Source organism: Homo sapiens, chromosome 2 (assembly GCF_000001405.40).
Source record: "Homo sapiens chromosome 2, GRCh38.p14 Primary Assembly".
Lineage (NCBI taxonomy): Eukaryota > Metazoa > Chordata > Mammalia > Primates > Hominidae > Homo > Homo sapiens.
In genome coordinates, this window is record NC_000002.12 from 240,426,404 (window position 1) to 240,449,203 (window position 22,800).

The 22,800-nt window shown below is 61.6% G+C and overlaps 1 protein-coding gene across 1 annotated transcript in view, besides 9 other annotated features; it reads left to right on the plus strand.

Moving 5' to 3' along the window:
• Nucleotides 507-1,008: an enhancer, noted in NCBI's record as "H3K4me1 hESC enhancer chr2:241366327-241366828 (GRCh37/hg19 assembly coordinates)". NCBI's record gives its function as "activates a minimal SCP1, AML or CMV promoter by ChIP-STARR-seq in naive and primed H9 embryonic stem cells {active_cell/tissue: H9 hESC(naive and primed)}" and the evidence as "EXISTENCE:reporter gene assay evidence [ECO:0000049][PMID:30033119]".
• Nucleotides 1,009-1,508: an enhancer, noted in NCBI's record as "H3K4me1 hESC enhancer chr2:241366829-241367328 (GRCh37/hg19 assembly coordinates)". NCBI's record gives its function as "activates a minimal SCP1, AML or CMV promoter by ChIP-STARR-seq in naive H9 embryonic stem cells {active_cell/tissue: H9 hESC(naive)}" and the evidence as "EXISTENCE:reporter gene assay evidence [ECO:0000049][PMID:30033119]".
• Nucleotides 7,629-7,923: an enhancer, noted in NCBI's record as "tiled region #14717; HepG2 Activating non-DNase unmatched - State 20:ReprD, and K562 Activating DNase unmatched - State 8:EnhW". NCBI's record gives its function as "activates a minimal TATA promoter and a strong SV40 promoter by Sharpr-MPRA in HepG2 and K562 cells {active_cell/tissue: HepG2 | K562}" and the evidence as "EXISTENCE:reporter gene assay evidence [ECO:0000049][PMID:27701403]".
• Nucleotides 8,323-8,899: an enhancer, noted in NCBI's record as "H3K27ac-H3K4me1 hESC enhancer chr2:241374143-241374719 (GRCh37/hg19 assembly coordinates)". NCBI's record gives its function as "activates a minimal SCP1, AML or CMV promoter by ChIP-STARR-seq in naive H9 embryonic stem cells {active_cell/tissue: H9 hESC(naive)}" and the evidence as "EXISTENCE:reporter gene assay evidence [ECO:0000049][PMID:30033119]".
• Nucleotides 8,323-9,388: a biological region, named in NCBI's record as "H3K27ac-H3K4me1 hESC enhancer GRCh37_chr2:241374143-241374719".
• Nucleotides 8,729-9,388: a silencer, noted in NCBI's record as "silent region_12509". NCBI's record gives its function as "represses an Ori minimal core promoter by ATAC-STARR-seq in GM12878 lymphoblastoid cells {active_cell/tissue: GM12878}" and the evidence as "EXISTENCE:reporter gene assay evidence [ECO:0000049][PMID:35858748]".
• The window catches only part of GPC1 (glypican 1), a 32,414-nt gene continuing 18,873 nt past the window's right edge, over nucleotides 9,260-22,800 (plus strand). Inside the window, exon 1 of the mRNA NM_002081.3 lies at nucleotides 9,260-9,681. Coding sequence (NP_002072.2) covers nucleotides 9,516-9,681 — 166 coding nt within the window. The 5' untranslated portion in view covers nucleotides 9,260-9,515. The remainder of the gene's footprint in view (nucleotides 9,682-22,800) is intronic.
• Nucleotides 9,449-9,508: a silencer, noted in NCBI's record as "silent region_12510". NCBI's record gives its function as "represses an Ori minimal core promoter by ATAC-STARR-seq in GM12878 lymphoblastoid cells {active_cell/tissue: GM12878}" and the evidence as "EXISTENCE:reporter gene assay evidence [ECO:0000049][PMID:35858748]".
• Nucleotides 10,633-11,209: an enhancer, noted in NCBI's record as "H3K4me1 hESC enhancer chr2:241376453-241377029 (GRCh37/hg19 assembly coordinates)". NCBI's record gives its function as "activates a minimal SCP1, AML or CMV promoter by ChIP-STARR-seq in primed H9 embryonic stem cells {active_cell/tissue: H9 hESC(primed)}" and the evidence as "EXISTENCE:reporter gene assay evidence [ECO:0000049][PMID:30033119]".
• Nucleotides 11,261-11,762: an enhancer, noted in NCBI's record as "H3K4me1 hESC enhancer chr2:241377081-241377582 (GRCh37/hg19 assembly coordinates)". NCBI's record gives its function as "activates a minimal SCP1, AML or CMV promoter by ChIP-STARR-seq in naive H9 embryonic stem cells {active_cell/tissue: H9 hESC(naive)}" and the evidence as "EXISTENCE:reporter gene assay evidence [ECO:0000049][PMID:30033119]".

Genomic DNA, 22,800 nt, shown 5'->3' on the forward strand with positions numbered 1-22,800 from the left:
ACCAAACCAGAATGGAGTCACTCATGCTTCATGTCACATCATCAAACTGAACTTAGAAAGGGCCCCTTTTCCCAAAATGAAGAGATTCACCGCAGCCAATCAGTCTACCTGAGTCAGGAGACTCAGGAAGTCCCTCCGTGTTAGTCTGACAAGGAAAGTGACCCCACAATGCCCAATCACTTGCTGTCCTCTTATTTCTGTTTCTTCAGCCTTTTCTGCCTGTAAAGCCCACCTCTTCCACTCAGCTTATGGGAACACCCTTCCTAACTCTCCAAATGCGATGCTGCCTGATTCGTGAGTCACCAGGGATAGCCAATTAGATCTTGCGCGAGTCGGCTCTTCCATTGCTATGAAGAAACACCTGAGGCTGGGTCGTTTATAAAGAAAAGAGGTTTAATCAGCTCAGGCTGTAGAGGAAGCACAATACCATCATCTGCTTCTGGTGAGGGCTCAGGAAGCTTCCACTCATGGTGGAAGGCAAAGGGGGAGCAGGTGCGTCAACGGCAAGAGCAGGAGGAAGAGAGAGAAGGGAGAGGCCCTAGGCTCTCTTAAACAACCAGCTTTCTCGTGTGAACTAACTCAGCGACAGCTCACTCATCGCCAAGGGGATGACGTCAAGCCATTCACTAGGGTCCCACCCCTGTGACCAAACACCTCCCACAGGGCCTCACCTCCACCACTGGGGATCACATTTCAACAGGAGATTTAGAGAGAAGAAACTTTCAAACCATATCAGATCTTAACTAAATGTGTTGAAAGTTTGTTTTGTAACAGCACACACATGCCTGGGTTTCCAGCTGTGTAGCAGGAACTGGTGCCTGTCCACCAGCTAAGGGATACGTCTAAGTCATTTTCTTTCTGCCACTTCCAGGTTACTCTGCCAGGGGACCCAGGGAAACCCAGCAGGCAGCGGTCACTGGCGACCTTGAGTGTGGAGAAGGGAGCGAGGAGGAGCCTGGGTGGACACCTGCAGCACCTGCTTCAGAGGCGAAGTGGGTACAGGTACTCACTGCACTCGCCTCCCTGCACTGGGTGGGTCCTCATGGGTGGGCTGCCATGGTTCTGTTGCAGGCACATGTGATGTGTGGTGGCAGTGGGAGGTGGCCAGGTGGCTGGATTGAGAAATGCAGCTCCCAGCCACCTGGCCACTCCAGCCTCATGATGCTGAGGTTAAGACAGGGTCGCTCACTGGGGGACGGCGCCTTGCCTCTTTCTCTGCACCTCCAGCAGCCTGAACTATGCCCACTTGGGAAGGACGAGATCGTCGGACGCTGGGAGAGGCTCCCTCCATGTCAGGCCTGCTCTCGGGCTCCACGTGGATAATCAGCTCCACACCTCATCCCTCATGGCAATTCTGCTTGGCTTTGGTTTCTACTGAGGTAAAATTCATGTAACATAAAATTAACCACTTTAAAGTGTCCAATTCCGCAGCACTTCATCTGCTCACAGTGCTGTGCAGCCTCACCTCTGTCTAGTTCCGAAACATCTCATCTCCCCACAAGGAAACCACTAAGCAGGCTCTCCCCATCTCTCCGTGCCTCCAGCCCCCACAACCACGCACCTGCTGTCTGCTGCTGTGGGTTCAGGGGAATGTGAAATGCTGGTTATTTCACAGAAATGGAGTCACATAGCCTGTGACCTTTGATGTCCAGCTTTTTTTACTTACCGTGATCTTTCCAAGGCCCCTGCACACTGCAGCAGGAATCGGTGCCTGATTCCTTTTTATGGCTGGAGAACATTCCCTTGCATGGATAGGTCAGTTTTGTCTGCTCATTGGGTGGATATTTGGGATGTTTCCATATTTTGACTACTGTGAATGGTGCTGCTGTGAACATCCATGCAAAAATTTTTGTTTGAATACTTGTTTTCAATTATTTTGTCCATACCCCTAGCTGTATGTTAATTCTGTTTTACTTTCTGAGGAACCACCAAACTGTTTTTACAGTGGCTAAGCCATTTCATGTTTCCACCAGCAATATACAAGGTTTGTCATTTTCCCACATCGTCGCCGACACTTATTTTCCGATTTTTGGTGCTAGCTATCTCGAGTGTGGTGTGTGACATCCTGTTGCTCTGATTTACATGTCCCTGATGACTAGTGATACTGAGCATCTTTTCATGAGATTATTAGTCATTTGCATATCATCTTTGGGAAGGTGTCTATTCAAATTCTTTGCTATTTTTAAAACTGACTTTTTGCTGTTGTGTTGAAGAGTTTTTTTTTTTTCTTCTGGAAACTAGACATTCATGAGATATATGATGTGCAAAAAAATCCTACCATTCTGTGGTTTGTCTTTTCACTGTTTTGATAGTACCCTTTGAAACACAAAGGGTACTATCAAATTTTCATAAAGTCCAATTCTTCTGTTTTTTTCTTTTATTGCCTGTGTTTTTTGTTTCATATCCAAGAATCTCTTGCCAAATCCAATGTCATGAGATTTCCCCAATATTTTCTTCTAAGAGTTTTTGCTCACTGGGGGTTTTGGTCCATTTTGGGTTCCCTGTTGTGTATGGTGTGAGGTAGGGTCTAGCTTCATTTGTCCCTGTACCACTTGTTGAAGAGACTACTCTTTGTCTCATTGAATAATCTTGGCATCCTTGTCCCAAAAAATTGACCACAGGTGTGTGGGTTTGTGTCTGAACTCTTCTATTCCATTTGTCCACATGTCCGCCTTCATGCCAATATCAAACTGTTTTGATTACTGTAGCTTTGTACTGTAGTAAGTTTTGAAACTGGGAAACTGAGTCCTCCAACTCTGTTTTTGTTTTTTAAGACTATGTGGCTATTCAGGGAATATCCTTGTTTCATGCCCATTTTTCCTCCGAGAAAATGAAGAGAGAAGAAGACTGAGTGACCTAAGGGGGTGGCTCAGCTGGTCAGCACCAGCAATGACAGAGGGAGTGACGGGGCTCAGGGGCCAGAAAAGGAGCAGGATGTCCATAGGGCAGAGGTCCTGTGGCTGTGCCTGGCCCTGACCCAAATCTACTGTCCTCACCTGGCTGACAACCCTGCCCTCACAGGCTGCAATCACTCTGCTCATGTGACACTTACTCAGGAAGCCCTGCACCTGCCTGAGAGTCACCTCGCCTCCCTAAAATGAGGCCCAGAGGCCAGGTGTCTAAGCCTCCCTTGGCCGCCCTCCCTGGGCCGCAGCCCCAGGTCTGGGGAGCACTTTGGCCTGAGGCCCTCTGGAAGGGCAGGGCTTCCCTCTGTCACCTTCTCAGGATGCCTTTGCCAGACTTTCGTTGAAGGTAGGGGACCAAGGCCAGGTGGGCTGGTCAACGCCACCTTTAGGGAGGGGCCTCGCCACCACTAGTGCCTGCCCACTCCCCAGCACGGGTGGGCCAGCCAGAGCTGACCCGATGTGGCTGAGCTTGGCTGTAGGTGTGACCCATGGGCCAGGCCATGGTTGCAGGGTGTGGTCAGGGCCTCTCCTCCTCCCTGGTCCTCAGCCGTTGTCTACGGCTTCAGCCTCTCCTCCTCCCAAGTCCTCGGCTGTGTCTTGTTCCAGCCCCCCTCCTCCTTCCCTCCCTGGACACTCCCACTGTGTCCAGGAGGGCCCTGCAGCTGCCTTCACCTCTGGTTGTGCCGGTGGCTGCAGGGCAAATAAAACCAACCCTTCCCCCATCCCCCTCCCCAGGGACCAGGCAGCCTGTCCCTGTCCCCAGAAGAGGCCTTGCACCACCCCTTCCCTCCCACAGGCCTCAGGGGCTCCCTTGCCCTTCAGCCGTCCAACGCTCAGGACACCTGTCCCCTGCCACCTAGCGGGGCATTACTATTGCACAGAGAAACAGACACTCGGATGCGGCAGTTTCGCCTCCTCAGGAAAATAGGATTCCCAGAGAGGACCAGCAGGCCAGGGAGGCTACAGTCCTCCCTCAGCTGCACCATGCAGGTGCCTCTCTCGCCTGTGACTCAGCCTCACCTGCCAAGGTTGCAAGACCCTGCTCGGTGGGCCCTGGCAAGGCCTCCCCCTTAGGAGACGGCTCTTCCACTGAGCCCCTGGATTCCCTCCCACCCAGCGCAGGCCGGCGGCACACAGGGCAGGCCACTGTGAGCACTCTGGCTGCTCTAGGCCCTGACACAGTACAGGCCTGTGTCCTCCGCAGCCAGGTGTGCAGGCCCCCAACCCCCCCCACCCCCAGCCCATGGCTTGCCAGCCAGGGCCATGGAAGCCACAGCCACCTCCCCACATGCAGGCTGGTGGCTCCTGCCCAGGAGGACAGATGCCTGCTGTCTTGTTCTCTGGTCTTCCAGAGAAAAGGTTGGCTGAAGAGGGTGCCCCGGCCATGTTCCTGTCACCAACTGGACAACTCCCCTCAAAGGGCCTTGAGCATCCCAGGACACCCTCCCCAGGAGCAGGGAAGGTTGGGAGTGTGGCGTGGACAGTGCCACCCTTCCAGGCCAGCATGGTCCAGAGGCAAACCCTTACCTGCAGAGCAGCTCAGAGGATGCCTCCAGTTGGCCTCACCCTGGAAACGGCTCTTTGCTTTGGGGACCAAGCAAGCTCTTCAGACAAGCCTGCAGAAGGGCAGTGGGAGGCGGGACAGGGCCACAGTCCGACCCCCTCAGACCTTAGGAGCCTCATCTACAGGGAAATGAAACCCTTCAACTCCAGACCTCTGGAGCTGAAGGCAACTTTAGGCCTTCCCTAAGCTTAGGGGAAGGTTTGAGGTGACCCTGGAATCTGAATGGGGAGGGGAAGAACGTTCAGCTTCCTGGACCCCTTGAGAGGAGGGGGAGGCTCAGGGGCTCCTGCACTGTGGCTGAGGGCAGCTGCATTCTGATCTTCAGAGTCCTTGCAGGCTTCGGATTGAAGCTGGTTTTCAAATGATCAGCCAGGCAGTATGGACTGCAGGAGGAATAGGTCAAAAGCCAGCAATGGTCCAGAAGGGGAGAGGTGGAGGGAAGGGCAGGAGCCACACACAGAGCAGACAGGACCTGGCAGGAAAGCCATGAGCTGCTGGTGCTGGGGACACCAAAGCGTGCACGTGGGTCTCTGAGCTCCAGGTGTGTGGGGTGCTTTGTCCTAACATAGCAGACAGTGCCGGAGTGCCCCCATCTGCTCCCTCTCCTCAAGGAGACCAGGCCAAGAGTCAGGGTGGGGAGGGGCAGGAAAACAGCCACAGGGAAGGCCAAACCCAGCTCAGCCCAGAGTGGAGTGTTTGGGGTCATCTCTTGCTACCAGGGTCCTCAGACTAGAGAAACAGGTGCCAGCTCTTGGAGGGGCCACAGGTGCATTCTTCTGACCCCACCTACCACACGGGTGACCCAGCCTCACTGAAAAGGCTTGCTCTCCTCTGACCTGGATAAGGGAGGCCAGCCCAGACTTCTGCTGATCAAAAGGACCCAGCAGAGCAGAGCAGGCTCCAAACAGCTTCACCTTCAAGTTGACTGCCCCACGGCAGGGGCTTGGAGAGAGGTGGAGGGAGGTGCAGGTATGACCTCCTTTGAGAATAATGGTGCCAGGTTTTCTCAGTCCTGCAAACTCTGCCCAGCTGGCGCCCTTGTCCACCCACCCTCACTGCCCAGTGGCAGCCCCTAAGTTGGGGAAGCCAGGGCAGCCCTAGGGTTCAGACTCAAAGCCGAACTCCTGTAGATTAGGGTCCTGGCTCAGGGCTGGAAGACCTTCCAGGGTACCACTGAGTGTCCAGGCAGAGCAGGGACCAGCACCCCACCTCACAGACCCCACACGAGTACAATCCTGCAGGGTCGTCTGGAGCCGAGCTCCTTCATGAGATGACAGCGGCTCCCTGAGCCAGCACCAGAATGAGAGACCGGATGAATGTTCCCCAAGTGTCACCACCAAAAGGCAGGGCAGGAAGCACGGGGTGAGCTGGAGGTGGAGTCCATGGGCCAGAGCAGGCCCTGGGGCAGATCCCCTCCCCATCGCTAAGCCCTGTAGAGCTGCCCAGAGCCCCGCTTCTTTCTGGCAGGCACCCTGATTACCATTTGCAGAAAGATCTCCAGCTCTGCAGGCAGGCTGTCCTGCCCACCCTGCTCTGCCCAGGGCTGCCAGCCACTCCTGGGGACCATGTTCCCTTCATCAGCCACATGCTGGGGTATCCACTTCCTCCTTCAGGCTGCTGCCCAAGGGGTCCCCAGACCCCCACAGAGGTGTGGGGACCCTACATCCTCCACTATGCCCCAGGGCACCAAAACACCTCCTGGGTGCTCTAACAGATCAGATGCCACATCCCAGCCAGCCCTAGTCCACGCCCTTGAACCCCTGCTGTCTGCAGGCACACGCGCGCACTCCTGCCTCCCACGGCCAGTAGGACAGGGCTCTCGTAGGTAGGGATGCTACAGGCAGTGACATTCACAAGAAGGCAGCCATGGATGGCAGCGACAACAATCGCTCAGTCTGTTTGGAAACTTACTTTTGGAGTCTCCGAAAGACAATCCCTGAAACCAAACAGAAAGGGAAGCTGTCCGTCCATGGCAGCGGGCAAGGGCGTGCACACTCACGAGGGTTCCACGGAGCAAAAGTAGGATAATTTCTGGGCAGACCTGCCGTCCGAACGGCTGGGAGCTGCGGGCCCCCCGGCGCTCCCTGTGTCTTCTGAGCAGAGACCAGGCTCAGCATCCCGCAGACCCCCACCCTCCCTAGGCAGAGGCAGGAGTGGGCCCTAAGCCAGCAGTACACGCCCTCCAGGACCTGGGGTCCTCCACAGAAGATGGGGGCATGGAAGGGAGGCCCCCACGCCCTGGCCCAACAGGCACTGCCTGCCTCAGCCCGTCAGACAATGCTAAGTGTCCTCTGCCCTCACTGCACCTGTGGAAGAGCAGGTCCAGGCTGCGCCACACGCCCACTCTCAGGGACAAACTTTTCCTCTCAGGTGTTTCCTCACTTGCTCATTCATTCCTTCTTTGTGTCGCATACGTGTGCCCCCACTGTCTAGCCAGGCAAAGACACCAAAGCAGGAGGGGGTGGTCTTGGTCAGAGCCACAAGGGTCACTGTGGTGGCTGGGATTCGAGGCATCAACTATGTCCTCAAACCCATCCACGTGTCCTGTGTGGAGCGGCCCCAGGGACAGCGGTGGAAGAGGGGGCTGATCAGCCTTGCCCATCCTCCCAGAGTCCCAGTCTGGACCCTGCACCCGACTAGCACGGGCAGCCTGGCGGCTCCTGCCCTGGTGACAGCGGGCGTGTGCAGCATTGCCAGGAGGGAAGCAGGGGTAGCTGCAGCTGCTCAGGATCCTGCGGCTCCTCCCAGGTGCAAACACGGCTTTTGCTTCCAATGCCCCCGGCGGCATGTGCATCCTCTCCAGGGAAGGCCCTGGCTACAGGTCTCCTGGCCTGCGGAATGGGAATGATTCCAGGACCTGCGATGGTGGTAAGGACTTCCTTAGGAGATGAAGCCACCCAGGGGTCACCAGGGCCAGGCAGAGGCTGCCACCATCGCGTTCTAAGCCCTGCTGTCCACACTGCCATCCAGAGGCCCAGAACTAGGCTGGAGGAAGGACTTGCCTGGAGGAATAACCCAACCTGGTCAGATTAAGAGGAGGCGTAGACAGTGACGGGGTAACTATAGAGCCTCAGGCCGGGTTAACCTCAAGTCCAGCTTCCTAGGCCCAGGCAGCCCTGCCTGATCCCGCAGTGCGTGAGACCACACAGAGAGAGAGCGGGATCGTGGGCCCAGGCTCCTGACCGTGCTGGATAAGGTGTGCAGGCAGCCACGCCAGGCCCAGGCAAGAAGGAGCAAGCCTGGAGCATGTACTGAACAGGGGTCTGTGAGTCACAAAATGTGACGCAGCAGAGGGTATGTGGGGGAGGGCAGGGAAATGCACACTTGGATTGGGTCCCCAAAGCCTCCCTCTCCAGCAATGACTCAGTGTCTCTGGGTGAAGGAGCAACCTTCTCTGGGAGGCAGGGCAGGAAACCCCAAGAGCCCAGGGGGAGGGCACCCCACCTTCCTGCTCCAGCCCCACACAGCGGCTGAGAGCCCCAGGCACAGAAGGGGTAGGGAATGTTGCCACCACCCCCACCACGGACCCCGCTGCAGCTTCCAGGTGATGCCACAGGCCCTGAAATCAGGACACCCTTGCTGTACATGGGGGTCATCTTGAGGTTCTCTGCCAAGGATACTGACCTCTATGCCTGCCCCCAATTCTGCAGCTCAGGCACCTGGCTTCACCGCCAGGCCTTACCATGTGGAGAACAGGGGGCCGGGGTGGGGGGTCTGGGAGCCAAGGAAGGAGTGAAGCCCTCCAGACACCAACATCGCAGTCCTCGCCCCCTCCCTACAGACCCCATCCAGCCCAACTCCCCATGTGCAGCTAAAGCCACGCGCCCTCCTACCATACAAGGTGCAGGCAGCCCTCCCGCCTTCTTCAAAGAGGCATCTGCTCCGGCTCACTCCACCCTCCTCCCCCAGTGGCCTAACTAGTCGCCGGGTTCCAACCCTATCCCTTCTCCAGAGGTCATCTGGCCCCACCCAGCAGCCCAAACCAGTAGACCGGCCCTGCCCCATCACTTTGGTTTCTCCAGCATCCAAAGAACGTGGAGGGTCACCCCCCCAAAACAGCTGTCAAGGTCCAACAATTAAGCCATCTGTTGCCGCTCCCTGGGACTGGGAGAGGTGAGGTCGAGTTTCTTGGCGAGTTTCCTGCGTGCAGCCCCCACACCACAAAAGCCCCCGGTGCGAGCCGGAGCCCAGCGCGAGACGGCTGGAAGGGCGCGGGGAGGGAGCCGCTGCGGGGTGCAGGCGGGGAGAGGGGCGGCGGCTCGAGGCGCGGCCGGCGGGCGGAGGGTACGGAGGCGCCGGGAGAGCGTTCTCGGGGCGCGCTGCCAGGGTGCAGGAAGCCGGAGCGCGCGGGAGGGAGCGGGGAGCGGGATGCCGATTTCGGCTGGGGGCGGGGAGGCCCCTGATTGGGGCGCGGGAGGCGTGATGTCACGTCCGGCGGGGGAAGCCCTGCCTCGCGCACCCTCCGCCCCCGTCCCCGCCCCCACAGGTGGTGCCACCGCCCTGGGCGCTGGGCGTGGGGGGCCGCCCTCGGGGACCCCGGCCGCGGCCCCGCGCTGCCCGGCTCCGCCGCCTCCCGCCGGGGATCGATAGAGTCGCGCGGCCAGGCGGGCCCTCTGGGTCCCTAAGAGCCAGAGGAGCGCCCAGTGCGCCCCGGCCCGCGCCCCCGCGCCGCGCCCCGCCCCGCCCCGCCCGGTGCTCCCAGTCCCTCCCCCACCCCTGCGCTCCCACCCTGCCCCGCCCCTCTCCTCTCCCGCGGCCGCCTAGGGGCCGGGCCGGCGGCGGGGGAGGCGCCGAGCCGGGACTGCGCTAGCCCGCCGCGCTCTGGGCTGCCCGAGCGAGCGTTCGGACCTCGCACCCCGCGCGCCCCGCGCCGCCGCCGCCGCCGGCTTTTGTTGTCTCCGCCTCCTCGGCCGCCGCCGCCTCTGGACCGCGAGCCGCGCGCGCCGGGACCTTGGCTCTGCCCTTCGCGGGCGGGAACTGCGCAGGACCCGGCCAGGATCCGAGAGAGGCGCGGGCGGGTGGCCGGGGGCGCCGCCGGCCCCGCCATGGAGCTCCGGGCCCGAGGCTGGTGGCTGCTATGTGCGGCCGCAGCGCTGGTCGCCTGCGCCCGCGGGGACCCGGCCAGCAAGAGCCGGAGCTGCGGCGAGGTCCGCCAGATCTACGGAGCCAAGGGCTTCAGCCTGAGCGACGTGCCCCAGGCGGAGATCTCGGGTGAGTGAGGGCGCGGCGCCGGGAACCCGGGCCTGGCCGGGCTTTGGGCTCCGGACCCTGGTCTTCCCGACGCGGCTACTCGCCCCCGGCGCGGGATCCTGCCGCCTGCGCCCCGCCGCCCGGGCCCCGAATGGCTCCCTGCGCTGCGGCTCCTCTGCAACCCCACGGCCCTCGCCTCCAAGCCCCGCGCCGCACTCCCTCGCCAGGGTCTCCTCCGCCCCGCTCGGTCGTCCTCCGCCCCTCCCCGCCCCCCGCACGCCGGCTTCTTCCCTGCGGAGCTGATCTCGCCGGGCTGCGGGCTCGGGGCGCTCCTCCCGGGCCACGGCTGGAGCTGGGCGTCTTCTGCCCGCCGCTCGGCCCAGCGCGCCTGCAGGCCGGGAGTCCCAGCCCCGGGGCCGGCTGTCGGGGCGCTGTGGGGCTCGGCGTGGCCGGGCTTTCGGGGCGCCGCTGACGGTGGCCGCGGACCCCTTCTGCTCTGTACAGACCTCTCTGGGAGGCGTCTCCGGTCCTGCCCGGGGATTCTCGTAGGGTCTCCAGCAAAGGCAGCCTAGGTGGGTTTTATAAGCTGACCCCCTCGGGGGGTAGTGCGGAGGGGTGGGGAGGGAGCTGGGCACTTATCCGCGGGCGGAACGCCGCCGCCTCGTAGAGATTCCTGTCGAAGAACTTGTACGCGCCGGCCCCCGCCTGGCGCTTGGGCAGCCTCGTGCCGCGAGTCCAGCTGCAGGTGGTCGGCGCGTTGGATCCCGCCCAGGGGCCGTGTCATTTCTTTGTAAGAACAGCGGCCCTCTTGGCGCCCCCTAAGCCCTGCAGCCGCCTGCGGCTCTGCCTCTTCCCTCCCTGTGGTCCCGGAGGAGCTTTGGGGACAGAAGTGTACGGGTGGGTGGAACGGTGGGCTCCGTGTGCTAAGGAACTCTTGGAACCCAAGCTTCACCTTTCCACGTGTGGGAACCAACCTCGGTCTGTACCGCGTGCCAGGGACCCAGTGGGCAAGAACAAAACAGACTAGGTTCCTGCTCTGGGGGGCTCCTCTGAAACCAGGGGAGTGGGAGTGCGGGTGGAGGGCTACTCAGATGGGGACTCAGCGCAGAAATGCCCATGGTCCTGGGGATTCTGAGCAAGAAGGATCCGTGCATCTGGGTGAGGGGGGTCTGTGGCCATGCCTTGCCGCGGGGGGCGGAGTGGTGGGAGGAGGCAGTCGGGCTCTGGACCCCTGCCCCTCCAGGAGGAACAGAACCCACAGACAGCCCCTTGCCCTTGGTGGATCTCCCGATGCCCCCAGCCTGAGGTTCTTGTAAGGGCCCCCTGACCGCCCCCCACAGAAGGAACAGAACCCGCAGACAGTCCCTTGGCGGATCTCCCGATGCCCTCCCCACCAGCCTGAGGTTCTTGCAAGGACCCCTCCAAAGTCCCCAGGACAGGCCTTCCTGTGCCTCTGCAGAGGCAACCCTGTCATTTCCAGGCTGCCCCCCTCACCCCACTGGGCTCTGTCTGTCCCAGGTAGGGGGCACACCTGGATGCCAGGCAGCACAAGGCCCTCGGCACAGTTGGGTTCGTTCTCTGCCCCTCTACTCACACATAAAGAGGCATCCCTGGCCTTCCTGGTGAATCCCTCCCCAGGCACCAGGGTAGCAGAGTGGCTGAGTGGCTGCCCCTCCCAGCCCAGAGTCTTGAACCCTGCTCCTTTGGAAACCATTAGCCCCCAGCCCTTCTTAGCACCTCCATGTCCTCTGGGCAGTTGCATCCTTAGGAGCCAACCTAACCTTCCTTGCATCCACAGGCCACTGTTGCCAGTTAGAGAGACAGAGTGGCAGAGTTTGGCCATCTCCCAAGGGTGAGAAGAGAGGGCAGGACAAGATGGAGAAGTTGATGTGGGGCTGGGCCAGAGAGTGTGGGTCGTGCTGCTCTTGGGTTGGGGAATGCAGTGGGTTAGGGACCCAGGACAGGCAGATTGTGTTGATTTCTCTGTGTCTGATGGGGCAGGGGATGCTGTCCACCCCGCGTGGGGAGTACGAACGCCCTGCAGCTGTCTAACCACGGTGCCAGCCATGGGCCAGTGCCTGCTGCCAGGGCTCGGGGTGCCACCCTCCTCCAGACTTGCAAGGCCAGGACTGCACTGGGCAGGATTACTGCCTCTCCAGTCGGTGCCCCTCCGACAGGAACCTCTCTCCCTGCACCCCCTATGGCTGCAGAAGTGGGGAGTAACCTTCGGGACCCAGGGTACAGAAGACAGTGTGGGAGCCACGTGGGCTGAGGGAAACAGGGTGACTCCCTCGGGTCGCAGCAGTCCTGGGGCAGCCAAGCCCAGTGTCCCCTCCTGCTTTGTCGGCTGGGCCTGGGCTCCGTGGAACGGGCGCCCTCTGGTGGCCCCTGGGCGGCAGATCCTCCCAGGAGCCCTGGACCCTCTGTGGCCTAGTAGGCACCATTCTCAGTCCCCTCTCTCCTGCATCCAGACTTCTCCAGGGGGACCTCCTCAGAGGGAATGCGAACCCCCTGGGGTTGGGCACCTCGCTGGCCCGGAGCAGGTGGGGTAGAGATCTGATACTTCCTCGTGGGAAGGAGAGCAGTTGGCCCTGGGTGTGTGGCGGGCCTTCCCAGCCTCTGCCCCAGGGACCAGAAAAGGCAGTGGGTGACAGGAGACTTAGCTCATGAAAGAGGGCAGTGTCGGGACATATTGGGCTCCCTTTTGAGACTTCCTTTGTCCTCTGGACAGCCAGGCCAGGCTGCAGTGACAGCAGTGGTCATCCCATTTTATGGGCAAGGAAGCAGGCCTGGGTGCCACCAGCTGGACGGTGGCACTGCAGCAGGGCACCCGGCCACCCTCCCTTTATGCCAGGGCACGGCACAGAAGGCAAGGGCGGAGCCGAGTGGCACCCCGGGTGCCCCTGCGCTGCCAGGAGCCCTCATGCTGAATCACTGCCCGCGTGCCAGCAGGCCTCCTGCTTTTGCTTGCAAGGTTGTGTCTGGGCATAGGTGTTCCCAGAGCACCTGTCTGGCCTCCTGATGTCTGATGTGATGTGATGTGTGTCTGTTTGCTCCTTTGCTGGGGTCTCAGCGCCCCACCTTGGCACCTGAGCTCCCTGGTCGCTGGGACCACCTCTAACTGTTTCCCTGTTGTAGCCACAGAACCCGGCTGGCTCCCGGCCCAGGATAGCTTCTCGGAGGACACCCCCAGGCCTTCCTGGCTTTATACCTGGCTGTGCTGGGTGGGGAGCGGGACATGGAGGGTAGAGGAGGGTCTCCTTGGAGCAGACACCCCTGTTCTCAGGGTCTCCCAGCCTGAGGCAGAGGAGGGGCCCTAAGGTCTAGTTTTGGGGGCAGAAGTCAGAGTGGGGCATGGGACTGTCGGTGGCACAGAAACTGCCCAGCCGCTCCTGTGCCCAGAGTGGCAGCCCGCCTACCAGCTGGAGCGGGCACCAGCGTGCCCTGGAGCCTGTACCAAGCACCCACTCGTTGGGCCCCTCCGAAGGAATCTTTTCTTCTCTGTGCCACTTTTGACCGCCTGGGTGGTTGGCACACAGACTCTGGGGAACCATCCTCAGAGGGCCTGGACCTCTCCTTCCCACATCCCTGAAAGGGTGTTTCCGGCTGGGCCCGGGAGAGCCCACCAGCATCTGCTTCTCAGTCCTGCTCAGCGGGCCTCTCGGAGGCTGCCTGGCACACAGCCCCTCACCAGACCAGACAGTTCCCTGTGCCCTGTCCTGTCCAGGTGGCTCAGCGTGGTTCCCAGGTGGTCCTCAGCCTTTGCTGTGTCGCTGCTCTTCCCTCCATGAGAGGAGCTCATCATCCCCAGCGTGAGGACCGAGCGGAGCCCAGGGGAGCCCTGATCCGACAGGGCCACCTGCGTGATGCAATGGCCTGGGTCCCTGCTGGACCGCCAAGCCTCCCATGCCAGGCAGGCCACAGCACTCCTCAGGCACAGATGCCCCCACCCCCATCCCATCCCCGGTGTCCCCGGGCCTTTTCACAGGAGAGAAAGGGAATAATCGTGACCTCCTGTGAAGGTGGCCAGGAGGGAGAAGGTGCTGGGGCTGTGCACCTCGTGGGCAGCCTCGGGCTGTGTCCCCCCTCTCCCCGGACACCCTCTGCAAAGGCCCACACACACCCCTCTCAGTTAATGGCATCCGGTACCCTAAGAGCACTCATGAACCCGGGTGCTCTTAGAACACGGGGAAACCCGGCTTGTGGAGCGTTTCCCATGACTGTCTGGTTAACACATCAGACGGAAGGGGTCTTTGTAGACCTGTTTTACAAATGAGTAAACCGAAGCCTGGTGAAGCGCTCCTCTTAGGGCCAGATCTGGCTACAGCATTGACCACTGCCCAGTAAAGCCAGGCCAGGCTGCTTGTCCCAGGCTCTGCACTTCTTGGAAGGCTCGTGCTTTTCCCAGCCCGCTCTCCTGTCCTGGGCCTGGGCTCCATCTCTTAGGCTCATTTAGAACGTTTAACCGGGACTCCTCCTGGCCTCCCTGCCTCCGGTCCTGCCCAGCTCCTCCTGGCCTCCCTGCCTCCGGTCCTGCCCAGCTCCTCCTGGCCTCCCTGCCTCCGGTCCTGCCCAGCTCCTCCTGGCCTCCCTGCCTCCGGTCCTGCCCAGCTCCTCCTGGCCTCCCTGCCTCCGGTCCTGCCCAGCTCCTCCTGGCCTCCCTGCCTCCGGTCCTGCCCAGCTCCTCCTGGCCTCCCTGCCTCCGGTCCTGCCCAGCTCCTCCTGGCCTCCCTGCCTCCGGTCTTGCCCAGCTCCTCCTGGCCGTGCCGCCCAGAGAGTCGTACTTCCACACAGCTGGGCCTCACCCTCCGGCCTGGCTCCACTGCCTGTGGGGGGCAGGACTGCTAGGAGGGCTGTTCCCAGCGTGTGCCACGAAGCCCTGCATGTCCCCAACAGGGCAGACCAGCCACCCACACTGGGCCAAGTGCCCCAGGATTAGTGGACAGGTACCCTATTCAGGTGCCCACAGGTGCCAAGCCAGGGAGATAAGGCAGTCCAGTCTGTTGGGGCTTGTACCTTCACACCAGCAATCTCTAGGGACAGTGTGAGCCTGTGGTTAACGCGCCTTCCCAGGTACCGAGGACGCCTCCCTACAGCAGGACGGGGGGCATACCTACCTGGTGGCCGAACCGCAGGGCTGCACATCAGACCTCGGAGGAGAGCTTAGTGGGTGTCTGAGCATGCCCATGTCTGTTCTATGGCATCCATGTGCATGGCACAGGTGTCAGCCATGGGCTGGCACTAGACAGGAGACGAGCCAGGGGAGGGGCTCACCCGAAGCCACACTGGTCAGGTCTGGCCTGGGGCCCCACATCTGCCGTGCCCGGGCCAGTGAGAGGCTGGACGCCTTTTCTTAAGCCAGACCGTCCTCACAGGGCCTGGCTCAGTTATTTCAGATCAAGACTGGACCCGTGGTGGAGGCTGGGGTGGGCACTCCTACATGCGGGGCCTCTGCCCAGCCCTGGCCCTGTCCAGTGTCGACGTGCCCAGAGCCCTGAGCCGGCCTGGATCTTGCCAGTCGCCAGCACAGCCCTGTGGGGCCCGGGATCTTGCCCACTTTACGTGGGGGCTCCAGACAGGAGCCGCCTGCCCGGAGCCTGGGCTCCTCGCTGCCGTGCCTGTGGTGGCTTTTCTTTGTCTGGGAACAGGCCTGGGCAGGTGCCCTGAGCCGCTTGAAGTCTCCTGACGGGGTGGGGGGTGCAGTGTAGGGTGTTGAGGCTTGGGCCAGGGAAGCGGGCGGTTCTCCCTCCACCTCCAGGCCCCACACCCAGGCGGGAGCACGCAGCAGCCAGGTGTTGGGTGAGGGCTATGCTGAGGAGCAGGGCCCAGAGCTGCAGCCTCCTTGGCTGCCCTTGGCCCGCCGTGGGTGGCGGGGAAGTACAGGTGTGAGGGGCATACCCCACTGCCCCAGGCTCGGTAGCAGTCTGGAATCCGGGTGGGTTTAGGAGCCCCTGAGAGGGCCAGGCCAGCCTCACACCATCCCCTCTCCTGCCTGTGGCCTCAGCTCCATCTCCCGCCAGCTCCTGCTGACCCACCTTTCTGGCACACCTGTCCCCTCCCTCCACGGTGTCCTCCCTGTGCCCACCCACAGCACCCGCCTCCTCCGGCCTTTCCCCACAGCTTGACTTCCCGGGCATCGGCCAACACGTACCCTCCCTGTTGCCGGGGCCCCCGCCTGGGCAGGCCTGAGCTCCACACAGGGTGGGGAAGGCCCCGAGTCCCTCCCGGTACCGGGTGGGGCTGGGTGCCGGGGTTGGGAGCACAAGTGTTTCCAGGGCTGTCGGAACAGTGCCACAGGCTGAGCAGCTGCAGCTGCAGACATGGGTCGTCCGTGGTTCTAGAGCCTGGAAGCCTGAGATCAAGTGTGCGTCCACCAGGCTGGCCCCTTCTGAGGCGTGAGGAAGTCTGCTCCACACTGCCAGCTTCCAGGTGTTCCTTGGCTGGTAAATCCCACCTTGGCCTCCACAGGCCGCTCTCCCCGTGTGCGCTTCTGTCTCCGAATTCCCCCTCTTCACAAGGACACAACTCTAATTGGGTCAGGGCCCACCGGTACCATCTCTTCTTAACGAGAGGTGTCACACAGACTCCACACCCAAAGTCACATCCTGAGGAATCGGGGTTAGGCCTCAGCCATGTGGGTTTTGGGGGTACAGTTTAGCCTGTAGTGGGGAGCTAGCCCAGCCCGGCACACCTACATCTTCCCATCAGGTGGCAAAGACCCCGAGGCTCTGGGTGTTTTGTGATTGTGGCCTCCTGAGCACTGGGCCGTGTTTCTGTAATGGGCTTAGAGCTCAGCACAGATGTGCCCGAGACCCTGGTGACAGTGTGAGGGAGTGACCACGCCCCAGCCTGCCACTCACCCCCGTCCACCTGAGGCGCTCTCTGGGCACAGCCTGGTCCCCACAAGCCTGGGAGGCCTCAGCGTCAGGCCCTGCACAGCTACTGGGTCCTTGGCCAGCCCCTCCTGCCGTGGGCCTCCGCTTTTCCCTCAGGTCCGGGTGGCAGGGCCGGGCCACTCAGGTGATGTTCCAGGTCTAGTGGTACAGCAGTGGCTGAGGATGCCGCCGCCTGTGCCGTCACAGAACTGGGGTGGGGGGCAGTGGCCAGGCTGGCCTGAAAACCTTCTCCAGGTTGCGTTGCGGGAGCCCAGGCTGGGAGAGTCGTGGTTCAGTGGTGTGAGTGTGCCTTGGACAGGCCCCAGTCTCCCACTTGTCAGGGGGCAGAGCCCTTCAGGTGGACTTTGGGCGGGGAGGCAGTGGGACTGCAGGGCGAGGGTTTGGAGATGTAGAGATGAGGGAGGCCTGGGGGCCAGGAGGCTGCACCACTGCTGTCTCCTGAGGCGGTGGCTGGCCGAGGAGGCCCGCTGCTCTCTTGTGCTGAGTGCCCCTTGGGTCCTGCAGGCTTGGCAGGGTGACAGGGCAGCCACCCAGGGGCTCCACCTGTCCTGCTCCTTCAGGAGGAGGAGACCTCCCAGGGCTGTGGTGGGGAGGAGGGCCAGCCACAGAGCCACTGCAAATCATCCCTGAGGCCAGGCGACTCGGAAGCAGAAACCCTGAGCCCAGCACGGGGCAGTGGGAGGTGAGGCCCAGCGGCATCTGTGAACTAGGCCTCCTGGTGGGCTCTCAAGGTCTTTGATGGGGCGCAGCCGGTGGACAGGGAGAGAAGGGTCCCTCTTTCCCCAGGCCCTCCCTCCCCTGGTCCTCTCCCACCTTTGAGGTGCCCCAGGAGTTCCCAGAGTCGGCAGCACCAGGGGCTGTCTACCGGGTGGGCTGAATACCACTTAGTTTGCAGATGGGAAAGCTGAGTCCCAGAGAGGGGTTCCCAGGGCTCAGAGCTGAGAGGCCTCGCCGCCTGGGGCCAAGCCCCACACTTGCTTGCCGAGTGACTCACTCCTGCTCTGGGCCTGGCTAGCAGGGGTGAGGCTGGGTCAGAGGATGGGGAGCTGGGCCAAGGCCACAGACTACCCCGCAGGTGCAGGCACCCAGAGGCCTGAGGGGCACCGGGAGCGCACAGGAGGGGAGGCTGTGAACACGGCCCGGCTTCTTTGCAGCTCCGTGTCGGGGCCATGTGAGGACACACACCGCAGGAGGGCCCGGCCAGCCTCAGCCCAGCCCAGCCGCCACGCCCGGTGGGTCTCCTGAGGTCAGAGCCAGCCCCACAGTGGGCACCACATGCCCGCCTGCTGTCCTGGCTCCTCCTGAGGGACAAGGGTGAGCTGGGCGGGCCAGGAAGTACAACGCTGCTAGGCTTCTGCTCTCGCCCCACAGAAGTTCAGGTTCTACTGAGAAACTTGGCTGGGGCTTCCGGGGACTCCCAAATCCAGCCGCCCAGGACCCTGCGGCACTGTCCATCCTGAGCCCCGTCCTCACCCGCTGGTCCATCCTGGGGTGATGGATCTGGCTGCAGTGACCCCGATGCTCTGAGGCCCAGAACAGCACGTCTCCCTCCTGGGAACAGCCAAGCCTTAGGCCCATGCAGCAGCGACCGGATCCCTAGCCTCCCCGGCAGGGGTGCTTCCTGGGTGCGCCATCAGCAGTGGGACCTGTAGGGAAGTCTGTGGCCTGTGCGCACCTTCAGACGATTTCCCCAAACACCGACGACAGCTGTCCAGTGCGTCACAGAGCTGTGGCCTATGGGTGATCGTCTCAGCCTGTCCCTGCATCTGGTGCAGCCTCAGTGCCCACTGTGGACCCCGCAGCCCACCCGTGTCTGGCGCATCCTTGGTGACTGGGGCTCCCTGTGGCTGTCTGATCCCATCCCTGTGGTAACCCATGTGTGACGTCCAAGTGTCTCCTCAAGAACCGGGGCCAGGAGGCCCATCCTTGGCTCTGGAGACTGCAGGGAGAGCATCCCACCCACCTGTGACCATCTACCAGGCCCTGGGGACAAAGCTGATGCCACCTGCCACCAGGGTTGGCTCAGGCGTTTACATGCATCTCCAGTTGTCATGGAGCTTGGGACACACTGGACCCAAGGAGGTATTTTAAAAGGACAAGTCTCTCACGTAATCCAGCCCCACTGTTCCTGAACGCGATGCCCCCTCCCCGAGCCTGGCGGGGGGCTGTACACAGAACACTGCTCAGCATCTTCAGTCTCCCTCCTGTGGCCTCACACCCAGGATGGTAGGTGTTAGAACAGGTGCCTCCCTGTTCTATGTGCGTGGCCTCATCCTGTGGGCAATTTGGGGTGAGGGGTGGCTGCAGGTCAGACAGATACCTGGGAAGGTCCCCTGGGATAGGGTGGCTCCCAAGCGGGAGCAGTTGCCCTGGGCACTTGTGACATCCCAGTGATTGAGGAGTGGGGGTGCTCTGGTGTTTAGTGGGTGGGGCCAGGGAGCCCAGTAATCCTGCAAGATGGAGGTGCCCTTCCACAAACGCCAGTAGCACCCCCAAGAGAAATACTTGAACTGAAGCTATAGGCAGAACCACGCCAGGGGAAGAGGGAGCTCAGGGGAGGGGGCACCACTCAGCGCCAGGTGCTGGGATGGGAGGAAGGGCAGACTGTGGTGGCCAAACACCAGCATGCAGGAGGGTTGTTCTAGATGCATCCATCCTTCTGTGGGTGCACGGATGAGGTTCTGGATGTAATTCATGGGCTTCATGAACTTGGCTGAGAAAGAGATTACATCTCCATCGTTGCTAACCTCTAACCAGAATTTAGCATTTTTTCTTACTCGGAACGATGGTGTTCCGGGACCTGGGGCTTGGTCACCAGTAGACGTCGCCGCTGTTTATGCCCCTCCACGTTCGTAGCAGACAGCTTGGAAAACGGCGTCCTCTCACTGTGACTTTGAATTGTAGTCAGTATTAGGCCCGTTGCGGCTCCTGTGAAACGGCTTCCCGGGGAAGCACGTGCGTTGCCACCTCACAATTCGTTGTATCACATTCTGGTAACTGCTGTGTGATGAGTGCTTCCTCCATGGTCCTCTGTGTAGTTGTATGCTTCAGAAACAAGCATCGTCCTGAGAAAGCGTCTGCGGCTTCACCAATGGGCAACGGGGCCCACGGCACAGAGAAAGTCCGGCTGACCTGAGCAGCAAGTCGCCCTCGCAGCAGAGAAGGAGAGGCTTGGGGCCCAGTGTGTCTGCGCCCAGGAGGGCCCACGGTGGCCTAGGGTCCGAAACGGGGGAACGTCGTGGGGAGTCCCCAGGCACCTTGGGCGGAGCAAGGAGCAGGGCCATCTGCCTGCCGTGCGAGTGAGAGGGACACATCCCAGGTCCTCTGCATCATTGGAGGCTCCGTGAGCTCCTACTGGGTGCTGTTCTGGGTGCTGAAACGCAGCTGCAGACAGAGCCCTTGCTCTCTGGACGCAGTTAGCGCAGAGACAGGGCACGTATGAGAGGATCCACACAAGCTGTGCCTGTGCTTGGCCACCATGAGTGTGTAGCTTGTGTGAGTTACAAGTAAAGGGGTGTGACATGCAGGAATCTAGGCATCTGCATGTGAGGTTTGCAACCACTCACCCATTTGAGTCATGTGAACCCTGAGGGCCGAACCCTAAAGACCACTCCCTGGCTGGGGACTGGCCCAGGGCTCCCAAGTGCAGTTTGGCCCCTCTCTTGCCATGGCCATCTCTTGTCCTGTCCTCGGCCTCCCATGCTGCCTTACAGGACCCTCAACTGGGGCTGGCCACCTGGGGCTCCTCCCCAACCCAAGGAGCCTGGAGCATCTGGGTCCTGGAGCACTGGGGGCCAGCTCATTGAGAGGACCAGAGAGGAGACTTGGGGAGCAGATAGGAAGGGCTGGGTTCTTCCAGCCCACATCATTCGGCCCGCAGAGGACGGAGAGGGGACCAGGGTGGGCAGCCCCTGGGCAGTGTGGAGAGACCTGCCTGAGGGGAGCAGTGGAGCTGCACGGCTGGCATCAGAATCCGGGGTGGACTGGTGCCCCGAGCCCGAGCATCTCATCCATGGGGGGATAAGGGGTGTCCATCCACAGCCGTGTTGGGAGCCCAGCCTGGCATGGCCGAACCCCTGGCGTCTGGCACCCAGGGATGCCCAGAAGGGGTGGGCTTCACCCCGTTTCTGAGTAGCAAAGGCAGTGAGTGGGCCAGGCAGAGACGGGGCTGGGGGCTTGGTAGGCAGGGTCTGAGGGCATTAAGGCTGGACCCCAGAGCCAGGAGGGGCGTGACCAGAGGTCTGAGTCGAAATTGAGGTGTCGTAGATGACCCCCATGTTCGTTCCTCCCTCAAGCAGAGATCCCTCGAGCTATGCCCCGACACAGAGGCTGTTCTGGGTACCGGGACACAGCAAAGTCCCTGTACTCCCTCCGGGGCCTCTGTGTGGTTGGGGCGACATTGACAGTCATTTCGGAAGGTCAGGAAGGCTCAGCGCCGTGAGGAGGGTGTGGCAGGGCTGCTCTGAGGCCGGCGTGGAGCCGGCGGATGGAGGGGGAGGGCACGTAGGTGTGCACACACTGCCTGCGCCCCTGTCCCCATGGACCTCGGGTTCCCAGGGAGGCGGCCTGCCGGGCCTCTGGGGAAAGCCACACCCTTGGCCGAGGGCTGGCTCTCTTGAAGATCATGGCCGTTCCTGGTGGCCGTCGTCTTAGCAAAGGGGCGGGTCCTGAGAGAAGCCAAAGCCAACCTGCTGGGGGTCAAAGGGGGTCAAGGGCCGGCTCCACACCGGCTGTGTGCCCCTGGCCCTGCCCACAGTCGCTGTGTACCCTGGCAGAAGGCTGGCCCGCCCTCTGCCCAGCGTGTGTCATGTCAGGGAGGCCTATTCTTTCTCTAAGTCCCATCTTCCAGAAGGTGGGCTGTGGATGAGGGCACTCCATGGGGAGGGAGGAAGGCCAGGCTGGGGAGCCACATCTGCCTGGACAGGAGGCCCCGTCATTGTCACCGGCGCAGCTGCTTCCTGGTTGTCACCCTGAGCGCTCACAGCACGCAGTGTCGGCGCTCCCATTCGCTGGCTCTGGGTGTGAGATGGTGGAAATGGCAAGAAGAGTTGCTGCCAGGCCATTCTGGGTGGAACACAGTGTCCCCAGGGCACAGTGACAGTGGAACGGCCGGAGGCGCTCTCGAGCCCGCCTTGAGGGTGGCAGCTGGTTTTCAGGAAGAGAGTCAAGGGTGGAGAGTTCAGGAGGCACCGCAGGCCCTGTGGAGAGGCAGGAAGGGCAGGAGATGCTGGCCCCGGGTCTGGACAGCTGCCCTCATAGGGGCCTCTCCCTTCCCCTACGGGATGGGGCTGGTTCGTTCCCCCAGGCTGTCTGCCTCCTGGATCTCATGTGCCCGCCCCAGGCAGTGTCCCCAACCTCTGCCCAGAGCCATCTCATGGGATCCTGGCATCCCTCTGTCTGCCAGGCAGTCCGGGTGTAGATAGTCCCTGCCAGGCAGTCCAGGTGTAGACAGTCCCTGCCAGGCAGTCCGGGTGTAGATAGTCCCTGCCAGGAAGTCTGGGTGTAGACGGGGTGGAGTCAGGACTCCAGGTGCCTGGGGGTGGAACTCTGAGCCTCCGGCTCTCCTCCGGCAGGTGGCTTCGGGAAATGGGTGGGAGTCACGGAGGCAGGGGGCCCCCATTCCCACCTGCTCCAGGACCCGCAGGGCCCACAGGAGGTCGAGGTCGGAGCTCACCTTTGGGGAGGCGATCAGGCAGGCACATGACAGGACCACCTGCTCAGAGTCTCCCTGGGCTGGGAGCCCTGGGCGTTCTCGGTGGTGGGCTGTGTGACCAGCAGCGTGACCGGCAGTTATCCCTCCCCGGACGTGGCCTTGCAGACACCAGCCCAGCTGCCTGAGGCCCAACTAGGTTTCAGCAGCACCTGGCCAGCAATGGGATAGTCAGGCCAGCGAGGGTGGCCAGGCCTGACCCTAGTTTTGCAAGAGTGGCCTAATCTCCATACCTGGGCTCGGGGTGCCCAGGTATCAAGCCTGGGCTTCTCATTTCCTCCCCTTCAGTGAGGACAGGGGGACACTCAGGCCAGTGGAAGGAGATCTGCCTTAGGGAGAAGTCTGAGACCTGGGGGGGAAGCCACCTAACCTCCGTGAGCCTCAGTCTTCCCATCTGTAAGCTGGGGGTGGTCCTGTCTGCCTGTTAATTGAGATAGTGCTGATTTCAGGAGAGACCCACTGCTCTCCAAGGAGGCTGGGGACAGTTCAGAGTTGAAAGCGGCCTTAAACCTCCTGCTGACAGCCTGGACGGGG